The following is a 23,706-nucleotide window of genomic DNA, read 5'->3' as shown; positions in this document are numbered from 1 at the left end:
TCTTCCAAAACTTGGCTCAGCACATTAAAATTAGTCACTGTCTATAAAGAAACTGCCAAGACTGCTGAGGATGTGAAAGTTAATACTGTCCTGGTGTACACTGTCAGCCCATCCTCCATGGCCACTCTTCCTGAAGAGCTATGGTACAATGCTGATTCCTACCAAAGCTCTTCATTTTGGAATAGGTCTTCTTAATTCTGAAAGTGCCCATCTTCTGGTAGCCTTCCTTATTGAGTGGTATTTAGATTACCTCAGCAATTTAGCTTAGATATATGGATTTTTTCCCCTCTGAAATGGCTAAAGATTTCTCCTTAACCTTATATATGTGATTGCTATAAAGTAAAATATAAAGTGAAAAGAAAGTTTGTTGTTTAGTTGCAACCAAGATTAAAACTAAAGTTTATGTAACTCTCTGTTAGCCTTTGACAGAACATTTTTAGGTGTTCCTGTTCACAAATTTAACAATAAACAATGAAGGTAAACAATTATAGAGAGTAAATATAAAGAGAATGATTTTTCTAAAAAGCAAATCAACAAATAATAAATGACTACAAAATCATTACCTCTGCTCTCTGTGTTCTGGGAAAAGCAGTTGATTTTTCTATGGCATAAACATCCACCAGGTAAAGACATGCTCCTTGCTCCCGGTCCAGAATGGCTGCGGTCTGAATTATACCAGTATGTCGTCCAATAGTAAAGAGGCGTCCAACAGTTTTTTCTTCACAACGAACTGAAACAATATAATACTCCACTGGGGCCTCAGATCCTCTGGGGCTAGCTGCTTCTATTGATATCACGTTTGTGCCAATGGGTTCTCCTTCCTTCAAAATAGTTATATATTTGGGTTGAGTAAAAACAGGTCCATCAAGGCCCTGAAGAATGATGGTCAATTCAGTGGTCGATTTCCTCCTTTCAGGCCCAAGGTCTGTTGCTGAAACTATGAGATTGTAGATCAACTGTGAAGGCACCAACGCTGAAGCCACTCTCAGGTCTCCACTATAACGATCAACAATGAAGGTGTCTGTGTCCCCATTGATGATCTCATACTCTATTTCTCCATTAGCACCTTCATCTGGGTCAGCAGCCATAATTGTTGTCAGAACGGAACCAATCACAGCTGATGGGTCTGCAGCAAGGGCGTTTTGTGATATAAACATTGGGACATTGTCATTGAGGTCTGTAACCAAAATGGTCACGTTCTTCAAAGCATACCGTCTAGTTTCTATTGGCACAGCTTGATCATTGGCTTTTACAGTCAACTCAAAGAGATTAGCAAATTCCCGATCTATTTCAGCATTAGTATATATAGTCCCTTTGACTTCATCTATGGTAAAGTGGTTGCCTCTTGGCATCTGTTGAATGATTGTGTAGGATAGTTGACCATTAATGTCTGCATCAGGGTCATGTGCAGTCACTGAAATGACAGATGTACCGATGGGAATGTTCTCAACAATAGACTTGAAAATATCTCCAGGAGGAAAGCTAGGAGGATTGTCATTAAAGTCCCTCACGTGAATAACCACTGACATTGTAGATGAACGAGGAGGTCTTCCTTGGTCTTTTGCTGTTATATTTAATTTATACAAAGACTGTGTTTCAAAGTCCAGTTTTTTGGCAAGAAAAATACTCCCAGTGTTTGGGCTAATGCTAAAAGTTCCGTGGTTGTTAGTCCCAGTAATACTGTAATATAAATCAGCATTGTCACCTGAATCGGAATCAGTTGCAGTAACAGAGGACACGAGTTCACCAATTCTCATGTTTTCCAAAACATCAACAAAGAGTGTTGATTTAGGGAAAGAAGGGGTATTGTCATTTTCATCTAAAATATCAATATTTAAAGTACACGTTGAATTGAGGGGGATTGTCCCTGAATCCACTGCTTGAATTACAAGGGAATAGGCAGGTGTTGCTTCATAGTCTAATTTGCCAATTAGTGTTACCTGACCAGAGGTACTGTCTATAGCAAACTGTCTTTCTTCATTTCCTTTTATTATAGAATAGTGAATAAGTCCATTATTACCTTCATCAACATCTGAGGCAGATACTCTTAACACTTGTGTCAGATTGGCTGCTGATTCTGATATTGTAGCTTGGTAAAAGTCTTTTAAAAATTTGGGAGCATTATCATTTATATCCTTCATGTAAACATGTACAGTGGCCTGATCCTTGAGAGGCTGAGGGATCCCCTGATCTGTTGCTATGACTGTAAAGCTAAACACAGCAGTCCCTCTCCGCCTCATAAGAGACTCCCTGTCAAACTGATGAGTATTTGTAATTTCCCCACTGATGGCATGCAACTCAAAATCTGGCTGCACCATTTCAAAAGAATACCTTACTTCTCCATTTGGCCCAAAGTCTTTATCTACAGCACTTACTTTGCCCACAAACGACCCAGCCCTCTGCTCTTCTTCGAAGTAAAATGTGTAATTGGTACTGTTAAAAAGAGGTCTGTTATCATTTACATCTTCTAAAATTACAGTAACATTCACAGTAGCACTAAGGGGTTCCACTGCTCTGTCAGAAGCAACAACCATTAAAACATATCTGTCTTGAAGTTCACGGTCCAGTTCACTTTTTATATACAATTGACCATCTGGGAATATGCCAAAAGCATCCCCTGTATTTCCTTCAGCAATGGTGTATGCAATTTCACCATTTGCTCCTGAATCCTTATCAGAAGCTTGTACTTTAAAGAATCGAGAATTCACAGGTTCTGACTCAGAAAGGGTGACTTCATAAGAGAGTTGGTCAAACACTGGTGAATTGTCATTTACATCATGGACATAAACTGTTAAGATGACACTAGAGGAGAGCTGTGGGACACCCATGTCAGATGCCAAGATCTCTATTTGGTAGGAGCCAGCATGAACATCCAGGGGCCCAAGCAGACTAATAGTGCCATTCTTTTCATTGATAGCAAACAGGTTCTTGGGGTTTTGCTTCAGACTATAGAGTACCATGCCATTGACACCTTCATCAGGGTCCACAGCTTTGGCCTGGAAAATGCTGTGACCTGCCTGCCAATTCTCCACCACATTTACACTCTCTATTGCCTGAAGGAAATGGGGAGAGTTGTCATTCAAATCCTTAACTGTTATGTTAACCATAGTGTCTCCAGTCACTGTGCCCCCACTGGCCACTACCTTCAGCTGATAAAAGGATTGCTCTTCTCTATCAATCACATTTGCTGTGGTAAGCTGCCCAGTGACCTGGTTGATAGCAAACATACCTTTCTGATCCCCAGTAGTAATGAGATAACTGATGTTGGAATTGAGATCCATGGTGGATGCAGACACACTACCCACATGATATCCCAGCGCCACGTTCTCAAAAACCACAAAGCTGTAGGCAACCTGACTGAATACAGGTGGGTTGTCTTGAGTGTCCAATACAGTGATGGTTACTATTGCCTGGTTGGGAGATTGTAAATTGCCACCATCAGTAGCTACTATTTGCAACTGATAAGCTGTTTTTTCTTCTCTGTCTAGGGCCATTCTTGTAGAAATAACCCCACTCTGAGCATTGACCTGAAACCGAGACCTGTCCCCAGCAGATATGCTATATTTGACAGTACCATTGGTACCCAAGTCTGGGTCAGTGGCAGACACAGTGGTGATGTAGCTACCTCCAGGCTCATTCTCCTTAATGTGAGCAAAGTATTGGACCGGGTAGAAGACAGGGCTGTTATCATTTATATCCAGAAGACTCACATTTATGCGAGCCATTGATGACTGGGGAGGGGAGCCCAGATCTGTGGCCAGAACCAACAGGGAGTAGAAGGCTTGCTCTTCTCTGTCCAAGGAGGAAATAGTACTCAACCTCCCAGACACAGGATCCAGACGGAAGGACCTCCGGTCAGTCTCTGCCTCTTGTAAGGAGAAGCGCACTGTTCCGTTGTCACCCAGGTCCCCGTCAGTTGCCCTGAGCATCAACAGTTCTGTCCCTGTTGGGGCATTCTCAACCACAGACACATCATACCCTTCTGGCTGGCTAAATACTGGCTTTTCATCATTCACATCTAGGAGAGTTACTACAAGCTGGGCATAGGACACCTTGGGGTGAACTCCCTGGTCCCGGGCACTTATATTCAGAACAATCTGGGAAGCAAGTTCACGGTCCAGGCCCCCAGAGGACCCAGTGGTCACGAGGCCGCTATGTTCACTGATATGGAACCATCCCAGTCCATTGCCAGAGACAATGCTGTAACGCAGATTAGCATTGAGACCAGAGTCGCCATCAGTGGCAGATATCCCACTCACATAGCTTCCCGGAGGCGCCTCCTCGCTCAGGTTCACTCTGTACACTTGCTGTGAAAAGACAGGAGGATGGTCATTGATGTCATTAACAAAAATCACCAGGCTTGCCACAGAAGAGCGCGCCTGGACTGCTGCGCCAGGGGGCGCCCCGTAGTTATCAGAGACGGAAACTGTGAGGTTGTAGGAAGGGATGCGCTCGCGGTCCAAGGCGCTGGCCACCTTGATTAGGCTCAGGTTCGGCACTTTGCTGCTTTGCACTTCAAAGTGGCGCTGCTCATTGCCCCCGAGAATTTGCACGGAGATGTTCCCGTTGGCCGCGGGAGAATCTGCGTCCGTCACGGTGAGCAGAGCCACCACGGTGCCCACTTGAGCATTCTCATCTACCGAGGCGTAGCGCGAGGTGGCCGGGAAGTAGCGGAACTTCACTACCGGGTCATTGTCATTCACGTCCAGCAGCTGAATCAGCGCCTCGGCGCGCCCAGTGAGGGAAGGCACGCCTCTGTCCATCGCCTGCACCGTAAGCGAGTATTGGCGCCGAGCTTCGAAGTCCAGGGGCTCCCGCACCGTGATAAGTCCCGTCTCAGGGTCCATTTGGAAGGGGGTCCCCTCGTCCTGCAGGCGATAGCGGATGTCCGCGTTGGTGCCCTCGTCCGCGTCCGCCGCCGCCACCTGGAGGACGCTGGAACCCACAACCGCGTCCTCAGGCACCCCCGCCTGGTAGTGAGAACTGCCAAAAACCGGGGGGTTGTCATTAATGTCTTGCACAGTCACGTTTACCTGAAGGTAGCCCCGCCGCTTAGGCTCACCCTTGTCCTCCACCTCAACCAGGAGCTGGTACTGCGGAGTGACCTCACGGTCCAGTCCGCCCTTGGACACCAGATGCAGGAACGCTCCCTCGCCGCTCGGGTTCAGGGTGATGTCCAGACGGAAGCGCCCCGCCTCATTGCCGCGGATGATGCGGTAGGAGCGGTGGTCCACACCGTTTGAGCCGATGTCCGAGTCGGTGGCGGTGTCTAAGATGACTTGGCGTCCGCTGCTACTGTCTTCCTTGAAAGTGACCACGATAGAGGGGTCCGGGAAAACGGGGGCGTTGTCATTGAGGTCCCGCACCAGCACTCGCACTTCGGTGGGGTAGGTGGGCGCGCTGGAAAGGACCACCAGGTTGATCACGTCGCTGGGCAGGCTCTCGCGGTCGATGGTGGAGGTGGTGTACAGGGCTCCGGTGCTACTGTTTATGGCAAACAGGGCGTGGCTTTCGCTGAGCCTGTAGGTGAAGCCGGGGCGCGTCTGGATGGTGCCTACCAGAGTGCCTGGAGGTTGCTCTTCCAGCACTTGGAACACCTGGCGCGGCTCGGCCCCGTGGACCCAGGCCTGCCCCGGAAGCAATGACAGTAGCCAAAACACTCGAAGGAGCTGAGATACTGATAGAGTGTGCAACGGGAGCCACGGGCGGCCAGTAGCCCTGTCTGGTGCTAAGTCCATGGTCCTGGCTCCCTAAAACGATGTGATAAAGAGAAGGAAGGGGTGAAGCAAACGCAATGATATTTACAGGGATTAAGGAGCGCCAGCAAAGATTCAGCTGACGGCTTGGTCTGAGACCTCTGCTATTTCAAAGAACCTCCAGTCCGGCAAAAGCAAGTAGCATCAGCAAAAGACTCTAGGTAGCCAGTTGAACGCGGAGTGCAAGAGAGATGCTGTGGCGAAAAGCGGCAGGGCATTCCGCGGGACACTCCTGTGAGCTGAGTTCCCAGAAAAGTTTCTCAAGCCTCTTATATATGCCCCCTTTTACTTTGTTTTTGAATCCAGATAGTCTGAGCGTTTTCACCCGGGTGGATGAGAGTTGGGAGAAGTTGCCTGTATCTAAGGTATATGAGGAATCATTGCAAAGAACGGTCTTCAGAAACTTTAGAACTTACCCGCAGCGAAGAACGTGAAGAGGGAGGAACAAACGTCCAAGCACAACTGCGCACCGGGGAAGGGGTGGTGGGGAACCGGGAGAATCGAATTTCTTTCCCAAAAGCTGGAGGCGATGGAATTCCTGGAGTCCCCACTCCTCAAAAACCAGGCTGCAACGCCCCTCCAACAGGGCGCCGGCAGTGGCCGCTGAGGCCCAGGCGGCGGCGTCTGCGCGCAGGCAGTTCGGGAACTGCGTTCCAAGCGCTAGCGTTCGCGCTCTGGCTCCCGTACCCGGGAGCGCTCAACTCTGCCCCTTCCCCTCCTGCAGCCGCCGCCGCCGCCGCCCCTGTTGCGGCTTCAAGCCCGTGGTCCGGCACAAACAACAGCCAGGGCTCCTCGGCATTTTTCACCTCTGCCGGGGCGCCTGCCGACCCATTATTTGTACATCCAAATCGAACGCAGTTTCCCCTTTCTTCTCGGCCTCGCAGGGGTCGGGCAGAAACAGCGTGCGGTCCCCGAGTCGCCCTCCCCTCACCATGCCAGGGGGGGTCGTTCTCCGGCGGCCCCAGTCAGAAGCCCACTCTAGCGCGCCTCGCCCCTGCCCTCGCTATCTCTGCTTTTATTGTCCCGTGTCAGTTTCACTTTGTAATCCACAAGGCTTTTTGTTTGGGGCGGGGGGTGGTTGATGCCTCTCTCTCCTTCACAGTTGGCAGCGGAGGCGGCGAAGTCGGCGCTGGGCTGTAGTGACGCCCTCCGCAGCTCCGGACGGCGCCTGTCAGCGCTCTCCCTCTCGCCGGCCGGGGCCGAAGGTTGGACTGCGGTGGAGCTAGGGCTCCGCGAGCCCTTCTCCACCTCCCGCCTGGTCCCTCACACTCTCCCCGCCCCTTCCCCGCCGCACAGGCATGCACACACACACACATACACACGCACACACACACACACAGCGCGTCGCCGAAACACAAACAGAGGGGGAGGGAAGACCGCGAGCTGGAGCAGCACTCAGAAACTTTGCTCGACACTCATTGATCCCCGCACTTTAGTTCGCCTGGACTCCCCCTAGCTCCCAGTCCTGTCACCTTCTGCCCCTCCCTCGCCCCAGCCCCATTGGGCCGGAGCTGAAGCAGCCCCGACCGGCACTCCTACCGCGAGCGCCCTCCGCCTTGCCCGGCCTCCGACTGGCTTCTCGGGATGCTAATCACTTCAGCCTCCCGGAGGGCTGTAGGCGGTCTGGTGTGGGAGCACAGCGAGGCGGAGGCGCTAAAAAGGGGGGTGATTTTTTTTCTTTTCTTTTTTTTTTTTTTTTTTCCTTTTCGGCCAAATCTTGGCCGGCGTCAGAGCAATAACAGCAAAAGGCTGCCGCAGAATAGATGGGGGTGGGGTCAGGTTTGCAGATAAATAACTTTAGTGGCAGGGTCTGGGGGAAGACCGTTAGGTTGTTATGCTAGTAATAACTCAGGGGTAAGGGGGTCGAGAGAAATAAAAGAAAGGCGGGGGGTGAGGGTCTGTTAAAGCGGGGAGGAAGGATTAAGCAAAGCCTGTCTGGGAATGCACAGTGCAGATTTGCTTTAACCATTTCCTGCCCCTTCTCTCTTTATGCAAGGGATAGAGCTGCCATACAGTGTGATCCCACAGAATCCAAATCAAATCCTCCCCTTTGCTCCTCTTTCTACACAGTGGGCTCCCTGCTGTCTAGGGCGAGCTAAACTCTAAATCTTCACTCACTTGCCCCTCTCCCCCACCTTCCAGGTGACTAGGGGGCAGGAGGCCTCCGTAGCAAGGGCACTTTGGACTTCCTACTATAGGAAAGGCCAGGGGAACTCAGTGTTTGTTTTGTTTTCTTTCCCAACTGGATTCCAGGTGCCAGTAGCCCAAACCTTAGGGTTTCAACAACAATAATAATGGCAGCCCTTTGAAAAGAGGGAGATCTTTTCCTGTTGCAAAGTTAGTTTGGAATTTTGATCCCTGATGGAGTATTTCCACCTCCACATTTTTTAGTCAAAGGAAACCTAATAAAGTTTTATTTTGCTTTTCAGTCTGGGAGAAATAGATACGAGAAAGTAGAAATAAATAAAATAATATTTAAGCTTAAGTTTTTAAAAATACCCACATGCCACTTAATGCACTCAGATCAACTCACCCACTATTCACTGCAGTTAATTTTTGTGGTGGCATGCATCGTTTCTTTAAAAGAAGAAAAACGTTACTAGGAATCAGATCGATATTTTTCCCCTTTAAGGGAACCAACCTAGAAAATAAGAATTCAAGCCAAACAATGCAAATACAGGGCATATGTCATACATTTCTGCCACAAGGATCCCTCACAAACGTAAAACTTTCTGCGCCCAGAGAGGGTTCAGTCATGAGTAAATACTGCCCTCTGCTGTTCTACGTCAGTCTTACATCTTTAGTCTCCTGGTTTCTTGCTTAAAATTAAATGCAGAGACTAAAAGGATCGGATTACAAGGCTAATTCCTGCTTCTTGCCTAGGGATAGCAGCAAAGAAAACGATCTCTAAGACTTTCCTAGTGCCTTTCTTATTTAGAGTAAAAAAAAAAAAATCAAGAATAGTAGGACAGACAGCAAATTCAAGTCTTGATGATGCAGGCAGCCTGTAACTCAAAACTGATTTATGGAAACATGATTTCTAAAGCTATCACCAATTCCTCTGTTTAGGTTAAAAAGCTAACTTCTACATATTCCTCTACTGTAATGTAATGAGTTAACTGGAAACAGACAAAAAAGTTAAATTTAACCATTTATGTATTTTAAAACTTGAAAACATTAGACTCTAGACTTTTTAGAGACATTTAAGCCTGTTTTTCAAAAATCGTATTTTTCTTAAGTTACAATCCTAACACCATTATTTTTGGTATAATTTAGCCAAAAAATATTTGTAGATTAACTAAAGTGGCAAACAAATTTTTACAAATTTTTACAAATCATGTCTGTGTGATTTTAAGAGAATATTACTGTTTTGTTTTATTTTGTTTCCTAATGCACTATTATTCAAGTATTTATAGAGAAATAAACAGAAAGAAATCATTCAGATACTTGTTGTAGGAGATCATGGACTTTTGTTGGTTTGCTTGTTTTTTTTTGCCTGTGGGATAATCTTCAGATTTAGTGTCAATAGTATTACATTTGCATTATATATGAGTGAATTTAATTTGGGAAACAGGTGAAGATCATTCATTCTGTGAAATGGAAAGTATTCAATCAGTGCAATATGTATACATTTTAGTTTTACAAAACAAGATATGGCAAAATAAACTAATACAGAAAATATATAGAGAGATAGAGTACATAAAAATTTTTTGGACAATTTCAAAAGAGGATTATCGAAAATTATTTAGCCAATAGTGTGGTTATTTTAACAAGTAGAAACTTTTCGCATGATGACTACTTTAAAGTAACATATTCATTTATAGATAAAACCTATACATGAATTTACAATCTATGTATAGATAGGTACACAATTTAAGGTAAGATATAGAGCATGGTTTTAATAAAAGACAAAGGTATTTTGTTGTTACTTTTCTCTTTTGCATTTCAACCTGTAATATCATGCATGTTAAAAAATGGATGCCCTCCCAAAAAGTAAATCATGCATGATAAATAATATGGATCCCTCTCCAAAAGTAAATGAAAGAAAGTAAAGACATATAGAGATCATTGTATGCATGAAATATGCAAAAAAGCCATGGAATACATTACTAGGTAGATATTATAATGGAACACATTAATAAACAGTTAGTGTAAGAATCATTTCTCATTGTACATTTTCTTTAATTAATTGCCTTTCAAAAAAAAAAAGTTAAGTTTATCTGTGCTTTTCTACCAAAGGCTTGTGTGAGAAGTGTTGTTTAGTCAAAGCTTTTAATAAAGTTCTGAAGAGGAAGATATTCCCCGATGTTAATAGACTGTGGGGGACATATTTTTATGTCCAAATATGAAAGAAACCAGAGAATACCTCATTTGAACCTTAGAACATACGTTAAAACAAATAGCTCTGTAACAATTTGTTATGATCTATACACATTTGCCATCATTATTTAATTAAATGTATGAAATTATGTTTTTGTCATGTTTTAGACTCCAGGTGGCAAAGGCTAGGTTAATTATATTCCTCAATTCGTAAGGCATTAGCAACATTATTCCAGGAAAGGGTATTCTCTCAACTTCCTGCTTTCCTCCCCTCTTCTCCTTTCTTCTCCTCTTCCCTTCCCTTCCTTCTCCATCCCTTGTACTCCCTTCTCTTCCTCTCCCTTTTCCTCCCTTTCTTCCCCTCATTTCCTCTCCTTTCCTCTCTCCCTCTCCTTTTTTTTCTCTTTCCTTCCAATTCCTTCTTCTTTACACCCTTCTCTCCCCTTCCCTCCTCTAGGCTCTTCTGTCCTCCCTTCCACTCCTCTCCCCTCACTTTCCCCCTTAATTTACACCTTATACTATTATTTTACGCTGGACTCTCTTTTGCTCACTTTACTCTACCTTCCTGTACTCTACTGTACTTCCTTATTGTTCTTCACTCTCCTTACCTCATCCCCAGAGGCAAACATTCTGAGTGAAATGTGTATCTTTTTGTTTCTATGTGTTCTTACAAAATGTGTATTATGTAGTTACCTTGTATTTTTGAAATAAATTATATTGCATTATATTGTGTATATAGCTCATCCTATTTCTTATCTTTTCACCAAGCACTATGTTTTTAAGATTTATACATATCGCTATGTGTATATCTGAACTGTTGTTTCTGACTTTTGCAGTTTACTTTAATGTGTACAACCATTCATTTCAAAATATCCACTTACACAGTTATAGACATCCAGTTTTCCTCCAAACCTTTGTCATCACAGTAAGTCTGCACTGAACATCCTTGCAACTGTCCCCATATGGAAAGGAATAGAAATATTTTTCAGATATATAGTGTAAATGGAAAAAGACTTTACACAGTATCTGAAACAAATAGCTGACTGGACTGCTTGCTAAACAAGAGGGAGCTGTGTTTGTAGGACTGTCTTTCTGAGCAAAACAGAGAACTCATCTTATTTAGATTTGGGGAAGCATGGAGTTAATAGATGGCAAACTTTCAGAAGTAGGAGGGGTTAGAGATAGGTTAACTTATGTAGAGGGCAGTTTTTGCAGATTGGCTGGATTTCAGAAGTTTGGTTACTGATGTAAATTCAACGTTGATTTGGAATGGTTCTAAAACTGGTTTGGTAAGTACAAGTGGATAGGATTTTTGTCGCCTTCATCTGTTATTGTTATTTTTGTCTTCTTAATCAGTTTTCATTATTTCATTATTTCTATCTTTTATTTCTTTGATCTAGCTCTGTTATTTTCCAATTTCCTGTGATAAATATTTAATTCAGTATTTTATTTTCTTATTTCCTGATAAGTATCTTGAAAGCTATAAATATTCCTCAAAATACTACATTAACCTAGTCCCACAAAGTATTACACATTCACTTTTAAATATTTATGTTTGGGGCTGGGAGCGGTGGCTCACGCCTGTAATCCCAGCACTTTGGGAAGCCGAGGAGGGCAGATCACAAGGTCAGGAGATCGAGACCATCCTGGCTAACACGGTGAAACCCCGTCTCTACTGAAAATTCCAAAAGTTAGCCAGGTATGGTGGCAGGCCCCTGTAGTCACAGCTAGTTGGGACGCTGAGGCAGGAGAAGGGCGTGAACCCATGAGGCGGAGCTCGCAGTGAGCCTAGATCGCACCACTGCACTCCAGGCTGGGCCACAGTGCCAGACTCCGCCTCAAAAAACAAACAAAAAACAAAAACAAAAACAAACAAAAAATTTATGTTTTGGTTTTCTCTATAGCACAAGATTATTTATTAATATATGATTACAGTTCGGAATAAGTCTAGTCTAAGAGCCCTCTCCTTCAGCAAAACCTGCTGCCTTTCCCCACCTTCCTTGATACATAGAATCTACATCCCTTTGTTACTAATTATTTATTGTGTTACATTAAAAGCAGGTAATCTGTGATAGAAAGAAGTCTCCAAATTCTCTGCTCTCATGTTTTTTTAATCCACTCCAATTAGAGTTGTACCCAGAGCACTACACCAAAATTTTTCTTATCAGAGTCACAGCTGATTACTTCCTTCTCCTTGATTCACTTTTCCTCATTTGCACTGCAGGACATCCTCCTAAGTCATGGACCACTGCTTTTCAGTCTGAGGCATTTTATAATGTCGTGCCTCAGGGCTAAAGAGAGGAATTGCCTTCTTCTCTTTCCCATGCCCACTCAGTCCCATGGTCACCTTGTTCTGTCTCAAGACTTCCAACAAGTTGAGAAAACTCAGAAAAAAATATTAATTATGTGGTTCTTGGGTGCAATATTCTATCCATATCCATTAGATTGTTTGTTAACTATGCTATTACAATCTTATGTATCATTACTGATTTTCTGTTAGCTTCATATATTGATGACTAAAAAAGGTATGTTCAAGCTGCATTTATGATTGCAGTTTTAATTCTCCTTATAGAGTTATGTAGCTATTCTTGCTTTATGTTGTAAGGCAATTATATATGTACACACACACGTATAATTGCCTTACAATGTGAAGGAAGAAGAGCTATATATAAGTATGTACATATATATGTGTGTGTGTATATATATGTATATATGTAAAGTCATTCCTTACATTATACATTATAATGTATAATTATAATTACATTATAATTGTAATGTATGGTTTTAATTACATTATAATTATATGATTATAATTACATTATACATTGTAAGGCAATTACATATATTGTAAGTCATATATATATACACACAGTCATATATATGTGTGCGTGTGTATATATATATCTTTCTGAATTTCCTTTAGAATGGCAGGTGTTGTTAGGAACATTTTATTGTACCCTTGCTCTCAAAATATTTTTTTCCTTTAAGAATACAGTTCTAAATTCAAAATAATTTTAGACTTATTTAGACAGAATTTTTTTGCCATGTGCCATTCTTGTGCACATACATAAAAAGGAAATATAAAGGAAATAGCTTAGTTGGGTATTTTTAATACTACACATAGTTCAATTCATATGAATTTTTTGGCTCAAATCATTACTATCCATATTTATTAGCACAGTTTTTTTTTACATGGAAATTTGGCTTTAACTGTGAATATAATTCTTCTTTTAGAAGAAATCTGACATTTGCCAGGACATCTCATGTCTTCCATGTATCGAATGTCACTTTGATTTTTTTTAAGTTTTCTCTGTGCATACTTCTGAATAACTTCTGACTTGTCTTCCAGTTCACAAGTTCTTTATTCTGCTATTTTGATCTGCTTTTAAACTCATCCATTTGATTTTCAATTTAATGAATGAATTCTTATACATAAATGTTATCCTATGTTGTTTCATAGATAACTATCCTTTGCAGTTATATTCAAACTTATTTTCTACTTCTTCAAGAATGTTAAATATAGTTTTCCTGTTGTTTTATATTTGTGTCTGACAATTTCAATATCAGAAATATTTAATGGTCTGTTTCTGCTTTGTATTGTTATTACTAATTTTAGCTGATCATAAATTGTTTTGTTGTGTGATTAGTTATGCTTGAATGTAAGCTACTTATTTTAATTGAAAAATTATTTGTGGGTGTTCCTTGAGGCTTAAGGTAGGTGTGCCCCTATAAAGAAAATCTGATTATGTTTCTATTAGGTGCATGTGGGATACTACTCATCTGCAACCACTACTGTTTTCATTGAAGCAAAGATGCCAACAATAAAAAGCAACAATATTTTATGAATTGCTAAGTAATGCTGCTAAATAAATAATAAAATACTCTCTTTTCTTTGAATTTTTATTTAAAAAATTATTTTACACTCATCTAAGTTGATGTTATGTGTCATTTTCTGTATCTATAAAAAGGAAACTATAAGAAAAATGAATTGGGCAAGGCACCCTTAGATCATCTTCATATTGAAAATCCATCTGAAAGGGGTGCAGCATTTATTGAAAGGAAGAGTGCCGTATCATTGACTGTGTTTGTGTGTTAACATACTGACACTGCCTCTTCGACGCTCATGTACATTCAATAGTAATTAAGTCACAACTGCTTTCCAGCCTTTAACAAATCAGTACACATTTCCACCTATTAAATATTACTTTGTGAAATAAATGGGACTCGAAAAAGTGAATATTAAAACAATAAAATATGATAATTCGCAACATAAGGTTTTGTTTTGTTTTAGTTTTTTCTGTACCTACCTAGTAATATGATTTTGAGAGTTGCTTTATAGCTTAAACTTCTCATATTTATCCACTCCCACAACCCTTGTCTAATCAGTGTCAAGGCAACTTCATTTACAGTCTTTTGCAGAAGGCAGGGTGACTAAGTGTGGGTGTGTGTGTGTATGTGTGTATATATATATATATAGACATATGTCCATATATATATATATGTCTAGTTAACTCTTAACGGAGAACTTGGGATTTGAGGGCTCCAGCTTTAATAGGAAAAATTTCCTATTAGACTTCATACCTCCAGAGATAGCTGACCTTTTTCTCTCAGCTTTCACATCTTACCACACCTTAATAGTCAGAGCTCAGATTTGCAAACTTTGGTAAATGTTCTCAGGGCAACAACTAATTCATCATTGAGTTTATTTATGTGGGTTCTCAATTTTCTCTAGATCATATGCTAATTGCTATCATGTCAGCTATTTGATCTCCTAAGAAAATACTTTAAAATTCAGTAATTTTAGTTGTTTTAGTGGTAAAATAATATCCTGATATATCACCAGAATAGGAACGCCATCTTCATTATTTTTTCAAATATTTTCCTCTCTTCAATTTTCTTCTCTCCTTTGGGAAATCTTATTTGATCGTTATCTGTCATCCATGTCTCTTTAGCTTTTCTTGCTATCTTTCGGGAAAATTCCAGAATCTGATGCTCCAACTTATTAATTCATCCCTTAGGTACACTACGAGTGAACAATGTTTTGTTTTCTTTATTTCGACTCATACTTTTTCATGCCTAATATTTCTACTTTATTCAAAAAGAAATTTTTATTTTATTTTGTATTGGCAATACCAATCATTTGTTTATCTTTAGCACACTTATTAATTGTATATTCTTGTTCATATGTTAAAATGCTTAGCTTCTTATGGCCTGTATTATCCAGTTTGTTTTTCTCTGAAGAATGGCTTTCTTTATATGTTTAGTTATTTTGGTTCAGGAGCTCATTACACATTACTGGCAATGTGTGTTGAGGAGGGTGCAAAGGCCAGGAGTTAGTCTCTGAGTTTAGAGCAGGGGTTAACAAACTTTTTCTCTAAACACAAGATAGTAAATATTTTGGGTTTTGAGAGCCAGGCAATCCCTGTCACACTAGTGATTCCTGCTCTTGTACTATAACAGCAGCTTTAGATACTACAGAAATAATGGGTTGGGTATGGTAGTGTTCCAATAAAACATTATTTATAAAAACAAGAAGCAAGGCCAGTTTGTCCCACAGGTTATCATAGGCTGACTCTGTTTTAGAGCATAGGAAATAAGCCTTGTATGGAAAACCTACCAGGAACTTCTGTTAATCACTCCCATTTGTATCCTTGAATTTTAAACTGGGAGGTAAAGCATGATTAGAAGGAGACAATCTCCCTAAATTGCAATATACAGCCTTGGGGATTTTAGGACTAGGATACTCAGTGCCTAAGGGCAGCTGGCCAGTTTGCACCTATTTAATGAGGGCACTGGTGTCTTTGTTGCTGCTGCTGAAATCTGCAGAAAGGCAAGCAATGTTTGCTTCAAGGCAACACAGTGTAGTGAGAAAAGCTTTTTTTTTCCCTAAATATTCATCCTTTCTAGCCTTTGACACAAACTATCTGGATTTCATTATTTCGTACTTAGCTTTCTTCCTTCATTATCCATTACTCATTATATATACATAATTTTCATAATTCATATATACATAATTTTTTCTGACTAGTATTTAATTTCCAAAGATTATGTGAAACCTGTGTGGATGTAAATAAGCCTAAAACTACATGATGGAAACTAGAATCATATTTTTTAACATCACACTTATGGCAGAAACAAAATGAAGGGTTTGCTTTAAAGTCCTTCATAATATAGTACATGTGAGTATGTGAGCAAACCCACTGGAATGGAAATTGCAATAGTACATGTGAGACTAGGTCTCTGAATATTGTGGCATTTGCCACAAACTAGTAATTACCTACCATAATTTGGAGAAACTTCTCAGTCCAACAACTGTTTTGTGACAAGCTAACATTTTGTTGAAATATATGTCAAGAGTTAGTCATATTTTAATCTTTATTAGATATATGTATCCTGCTTATCTCAGACTAAAAATATACTAACATGAGTAGTGATCAAAGACTGTGTATATCCTATTCAAAACATAAAATAAACCTGACATTGCATTTCATGCTAGAATATAAAGAGAAAAGGAAGAATAAATGCCTTTAACTTATATGCAAGATGTATATTCGTCATGCCAGAGGAGTATTAAGGAGAATAATAGTCAACATTCACCAGAATTTTAATGTATAAACAAATTTTGAAAATACAGAACTATTTGCACTACAACTTTCATTATCAATAGGAGAGTTCTACCAGAAGAGTTGAATCTAGGAACTGTAATCACCTTTACTGACAGCTAACATTTTATCTTTTTTAATTTTTAATTTTAAACTTACTTGATATAATGAAGTATAGACTACTGTAAGACTATTTTGTACTAGTATTTAATGAGCATTCTCTTGTCATTACAATAATTTGACATAAATATTCTTTTATTGGCTATGTAACATTTTGCCACAAAAATAAGCCAAAAAGTAATTGTTCCTTTGATGCTGACATTCAGGATTTTTCTAGGTTATTTTGCTATTATAAGTAATGCTTTGATAATCATCATTCAATCATCCAGCAAAATTTTTTGAAAGGTAAATATATGTCCAGTACTTTAATATTACAGAGAATACAGTGGTGAACAAAAGATATAACTTGTATAATATTTAGTCAGATTACAGAAATTTGAAAAAGAATGTAAACATTTAATCACCCTTATTACACAGTGTTAAGCTGCTTTCCATAAATGATGTACCAATATATAATAGAAACAGAAGTATATCAGGGTTCTTTTTTCAGCAAAAAGGAGAGACACACACATTTAAGTGTAAAATGTCTTAAATCCTGACCCATTTAAGGGAGCTAAAAGAGGTGCCTTCTTTTAACATGAATTTCTACTATATTTTTATATTAGCTACTTGTATTTCTCTTTCTCATAAATTATTCATGTCTTTGCCCTTTTAATCATTTGAAGTCTCAGATATTTTTTTTTTTTTTTTTTTTTTTTTGGTCATTGCTGCATTGTTGTTAAATCTATTTGGTTTCCTTTGTGAACATCTATCTTTCTTTTAAATTTGTACTTACCTTGTAACAATTGACATAACACCATAGGAGCCGGGAAAATAAATGATTACTTTTGTTTTTTTCTGTGTCTAGCATGTTTCTTGGCACTCAGATAGTATTCAATGAATGTTTACTCAATGTCATACCTTATACGGTGCCTAAAATTTAAAAAATGTATTAGAAAAAAACAGCAGTAACAGATGGCTTAGACTCCATAGTCTGAAACAGCATTTGAAATGTAATGGTGATGATTTCAGGGGGCTCAGAAGAGGATTTTGAATGGTACAAGAAATGAGAATTTTTAAAGTATTCAATACTGTGGCTTGACATTCAACCTCCATTGAAATCTTACAGCTCTCTTTTAATGTGCATTTTAGAGGTTTTTTGTTTGTTTGTTTGTTTGTTTTTCCAAAACACCCTCTCATCCTTGTTTCTTCATGTAATGTTCCTCTGCTTAGAACTTCTCAGGCAAACATACTATGGAGGCTGACTTCCTATTGTGTTAGCTGTTTATCTGCTGGTCGACAGAGCCATGGATGCATGTCCACCCTGGTATGCCAGTGGCCTGTCCACGTGTTGAGAAGCCACAGTCATACTATTTGCAGCTACAGCAAATTCCTCATCGCTGGATCAGTTACTTTGGTGTGTCGGTGAAGTTAATTATTCCAGTGAAGGCCTCCAATCTTTTCACCTTGCTGACTATGGCAGAAGTCACAGTGCCCATGGTGAGGTATTACTATTTCTATAGCATTTCCAATAATTTAGAAATCACTCGATTACCTGTAGTAAGTGTCCTTTTTGAAACAGCTATACTGCCTTATAGTTTCTGCAACTGGATCTTGACTGATACAATCATAGTTGAAGACAGTTATTCCATTTTCATTTCTCTTTCAAATAAAGGAGAAATTTTGTGATTGGTATCAGACCCTATAACATTGCATATTTTCCTTTTGAATAGAAAGTAATCTAAGTGAATAGTCCTATATGACAAGTATAATTCATCAAGATTTGATTAACATGACACTGTTCGAATACAAGATAGATTCTCTTTAGTAAAGACAAGCATCTGAGTCAGAAATAGTGAACACACACACATTGAAATAAAGAAAAACCTTAACGTAGCATATGCTAGAAGACAAAGGAAAACTAGCAGAGGATCTCTGTAGTACTTAAACATTTTTTGATATTTTGTGGTGCTCACAACCCTTGTTAAAAGAAAGAGTACATTATCTGTAGTACTTAGTTGGAATATTGCAGATGTTTCTAGTCTTTGTAAACATATCACAGCATCTTAATTCTTTGTTTATTTGAATTGCTCCTTAGTCATGTCTCTTTTTCATTCCATTCTTAATCACCGAGTCTGTGATTAAAAATGGCAAACATGTGTTTTGAGAAGAAACTAAGCTATGATTTTGGTTGTGGGTAGTAATTCCTCAGGGGCAGAACATATTAACCCCTTTCTCTCCACCTTGCTTATGAATTCACAGAAATGTACAGGTAAACAGTAAACACAAAGTAAAGCATAGAAAAATAGAACAGTTTTCAGTTCAATTGCTGTTTGTACAAGGAGATGTTTCTGAAGAAATAAACAAAAAGTGATGGCTGGGTACAGTGGCTCACGCCTGTAATCCCAGTACTTTGGAAGGCCAAGGCAGGTGGATCACGAGGTCAGGAGTTTGAGACCAGCCTGGCCAAATGGTGAAATCCCGTTTCTACTAAAAATAAAAAAAAAAAAAAACTAGCCAGGTGCGGTGGCACCCGCCTGTAATCCTAGCTACTCAGGAGGCTGAGGCAGGAGAATTGCTTGAATCCAGAAGGCAGAGGTTGCAGTGAGCTGAGATCATGCCACTGCACTTCAGCCTGGGTGACAGAGTGAAAATCCATCTCAGGAAAAAAAAAAAAGTGACAAATATTTACGAAAAAATGCTGAACTAAAATAGTATAAGAAATCACAGATAGGATATTATTGTAGTTAAGACTCTTAATTTATGCTATTAAACAAAGATCAGTTTTGGAATCTGACAGTCTTTGGATCTAAACCTGACCCTGTTTCCTATTCTCTGTAAGGTTACATGAAAGTAATTTCAGTATTCCATGATTAAATTTGTAATGAATTTTTCTTCATTTGTAAAACGAGAGAAATCAACTCACATGTTAACTGAGTTGATTGCTGCCTGCCAGTGTATGAGACACATCTTAATTTAATTAGAAAAAGTTCTAGATAAAAGTTAAATGCTGTTCATTGGGTATAAACATATATATATATAGAGAGAGAGGAAAATTTGAAAATATAGTTTCAATTTTTATGGAAAGAAACATAACTGTATTCATGTAAAAACAACACTGAATAGTTGGATAGATAGAATTTTGAGATAAATAGTAATTTCCTACAAACTTTGGAGGAAAACAAGAAAAATAATATAAAGTAAATATATATAGGTAAAGTTAAATGCGATAATATGGTTATATAAAAGAAAGTATGAATAGTGCATTTATTTTAAACTAAGTTTAAATACATTCCAATGGAGTAGATTCAAACAGGACAATATATTAATAAAATTAAGTGCTAAGAAAACAGCAAAATCATATAAAGTTGAATATAAGCCTGTATAGATAGTCATAGCTAATAAAGGTTTTATCATCTTCAAATACAATAATTCACTTCAGGAAATTCTAATGTCATGTTAATACTCTTAGTAAAAGCAAATATGTCACTGAATATTACTATAGGCAATAAATACTACTGTACAGTTATATCACCTGATTCTTTTGGGAATATATACATTACGTTTGAATCGCCGTGCCTCATCCAGCACTTCGGGAGTCCGAGGCTGGCAGATCACTAGACATCAAGCGTTAGAGACCAGCCTGGCCAACATGGCGAAACCCTGTCTCTACTAAAAATACAAAATAGTTAGCTGGGCGTAGTGGTGCATGCCTGTAGTCCCAGCTACTGCGGAGGCTGAGGCAGAAGAATCTCTTGAACCCAGGAGGCAGAAGTTGTTGTGAGCCGAGATCGCGCCACTGCACTCCAGCCTGGGCCACAGAGCGAAACTCTGACTCAAAAAGAAAAAAATGAATTTAATTTTATAAAAATGTTTCTGTTGCTACTGAGTCAGCAGATTGATAGTAACAGGTTTACATCACACATTTTAAGGGAATAGAGCAAACCATCTCTCATCCCCAGTAGGTCTAGGACTTGTTTTTTCTTTTTTAAGGATTTTCTTTATAATAACAATATGGTTTAAAATAACCATCTTGCTTTGATAATCTGTGCTTCATCTTTGCTTCATAGATATGATGGTTAATGCCTCATGGTAGACTACTGCTTGCAAATGATAAGTCTGTCCTTAGTTTTCAATCCCTTTTTGATGATTACATTTATCATACAATTACATAATTCAAGACACTAAATTGATGCTATTAAGAAGGTTGATTGAGATGATATATTATACAGATTTAAAGCCAATTTTTATGTCTTTAATAATTTTGCTAAAGTTTGTGACAATCTTGCTTGATTTCAGTATTTTGTATCATTGATAACCCAGTTTTGTGCTCGATAAATTCTAATCCTAATTCCACTAAAGAGCTCTTAGAATTAAGTGCTTTCTTTTGCTATCTGTACTGGAGGTACATTGGATATAGGCTTCTTTCAGATTCATATATATATATATATGAATATATATATGAATATATATAAATGAATATATATATTCATTTATTCAATGGATGGTGATGTAGAGCTGTAATAATAGTAATAGTGTACTGGGTAAGTATAGCATAAGGATATGTGAAATGAGTAAAGAAAATGTCATAAAGGATGCATTAAGGAATTGAGAATATTAAACAAACCTATACTACACAGGAAGTGGTAATTAGTTACTTGAAAGTGACTTACATCAGTTTAAAATATATATTACAAACACTGTGGAACCCACTAACATTTTAAAAAGTAGTATAACTGATATGCTAATAGAGGAGAGAAAACTAAATCATATTAAATGCCCAAGGAAATCAAGAGAAATCAGAAAAAATTAGAGAAAAAACAACATGCAAGAATTATTTAAAAGTTATATATAGTAGATATTAATTCCACTTATCAGTAATCTCCAAGCAAGAGTTGTCAAAATGCACCAATTGAAAGACAGAGAGAACACATAAAATTATGTGTTTTTTATAGAAAACCTTAAAATAGTAAATATTCAGAAAGTTTAAAAGACTGGAGAAATGTATACAATGCTGATACTAATTGTTTTAAAACAGAGCAGCTACATTAATTTCAGAGGGAACTGACTTCAAAACAAAGAAAATTATGAAGAATTATGAGAGACATTATATAATGATAAAGGGATTAATTCTTTAAGAAGATGTAACAATCCTAAGTAAGTATGCACCAACAAACAAAGCACCAAAATATGTAAAGCAAAAACTGACAAATTGAAAGGAGCAATAGACAAACTATTGCTAAAACTTTCGTAATTAGAGATTTAATAGTCCTCTTTTACTGATTGATAGATCTGAGAAGCATAATAACATTAAGGATAGTTTGCTTGAACAATACATTCAACTTACTCTAGTTGATATTTACAAAATCTATTCAACAACAGTTGCAAAACATTCTTCCCAAGCTCACTTAGAACAAAAAATAGACCTTATTCTTATAAATACACCTTAACATATTTAAAATAATATAAGTTATACAAAGTTTGTTTTCTGATCACAATGGAAGTAAGTTAGAAATCAATAACAGAAAGATAGCTGGAAAATCTTCAAATATTTGTTAATTGAACAGTACTTTAAAAATAAAAGATAGATAAAAGAAGTGTCTCAGAAGAAACTCAAAGCATTTTGAAAGAAATGAAAATTTAACTCATCATAATTTGTGGGATGCAGTAAAATAACTTCTTAGAGAATAATGTACATAACATTATATAACAAACAACATATTATAACATTAACATCATGTAAGTGATGGGTTGATGGGTGCAGCAAACCACCATGGCACATGTATACCTATGTAACAAAACTGCACATTCTGCACATGTACTCCAGAACTTAAAGTATAATAATAAAAAATTAAAAAATAAATAAATAAAATTAAAAAATAAAAGTTGAGCACAACAACAAAAAAGAAAATAAGAAAGTTATAACCAGTAACCTAAGTTTCCACTTTAAGAAACTAAAGAGAACCAACTCATAACTAAAGAAAGTAGAAGGAAATAAATAATATAATTTAGCACAGTAATCAGTAAAATTGAAAAAAGAAAGGCAATAGAGAATATCAACATAATCAAAAGCTGTTATTTTGGAAAAGATAAAACTGATAAATCACAATAAACAAGTAAAAAAAGGAGAACACAAATTGCCAATATCAGAAATAAAATAGAGTTCACTAATATTGATCCAGTGGACATTAAAGGATAATTAAATAATACCTGGCTTCTCTATGTCCACGCATTTAACAACTTAGATAAAATAGAACAACTCCCTGAAAGACACAAAGTACTAGAATTTATAAAAGGAAAATAATAATCTAAATAGGCCTATATCTGTTAAAGAAATAAAATTGATAATCGATATTCTTCCAAAAAAAGAAGTCACCACAGCCAGATAATTTTATTGGTCAATTATAAGAAATATTTTAAAAACAAACGATATTAATTCTCCGTAATATCTTTTACAAAATAAAAGCAGAGGAACATTAACACATTCAATGAGAACAGTATTACCCTAACATCTGTTCAGTAAAGGGTTAACTCAGCAAGCCAGAACTGCCCAAACCTTGCACATTCCAAAGAAAGGATTGTCATCAGGAGGACAGGTTGTTGTCAGATACTGGGAGATAATTTCTGAGCCTGTCTGATAAGAGTATGATTGGATGTAGAAGTCCTGGTTATGCTGTATGAGTTTGGGCAGATGGTTTATTCTACTATTATAATTTATGGTAAATGTTTGTTTTTATATGCCTGATGTCCAGGGCCACACTGTATAAGACTTGCCTCTCAGGGGTGGAGACTAAGTAGTCACACAGGGGCTGCATGCCTACATATCTCACCTTCCAGTAAAATCCCTGAACATCAAGACTCAAGTGAGCTACCTTGTTGACAAAATTTCATGTGTTATCAAACATCATTGTTGGGAGAATTAAGTATTC

General features: G+C 38.6%; 1 protein-coding gene across 6 annotated transcripts in view; it reads right to left on the bottom strand.

Moving 5' to 3' along the window:
• FAT4 (FAT atypical cadherin 4) overlaps positions 1 to 7,195 on the bottom strand; it is a 177,978-nt gene extending 170,783 nt beyond the window's left edge. For 3 of the 6 annotated variants that reach the window (NM_001291303.3, NM_001291285.3, NM_024582.6), the window contains exons 1-2: positions 6,173 to 7,195; positions 564 to 5,750 (exon numbers count right to left, since the gene is read on the bottom strand). In NM_001291303.3, coding sequence (NP_001278232.1) covers positions 564 to 5,738 — 5,175 coding nt within the window. In that variant the 5' untranslated portion in view covers positions 5,739 to 5,750; positions 6,173 to 7,195. Of the gene's footprint in view, positions 1 to 563 lie in introns of all 6 variants that reach the window. The other 3 variants (NM_001438396.1, NM_001438397.1, NM_001437895.1) reach the window with 2 other exon arrangements.

Source organism: Homo sapiens, chromosome 4, assembly GCF_000001405.40.
Source record: "Homo sapiens chromosome 4, GRCh38.p14 Primary Assembly".
Classification (NCBI taxonomy): Eukaryota; Metazoa; Chordata; class Mammalia; order Primates; family Hominidae; genus Homo; species Homo sapiens.
Note: the sequence above shows the minus strand (reverse complement) of the source record. Positions and strands in the feature narration are given on the sequence as shown.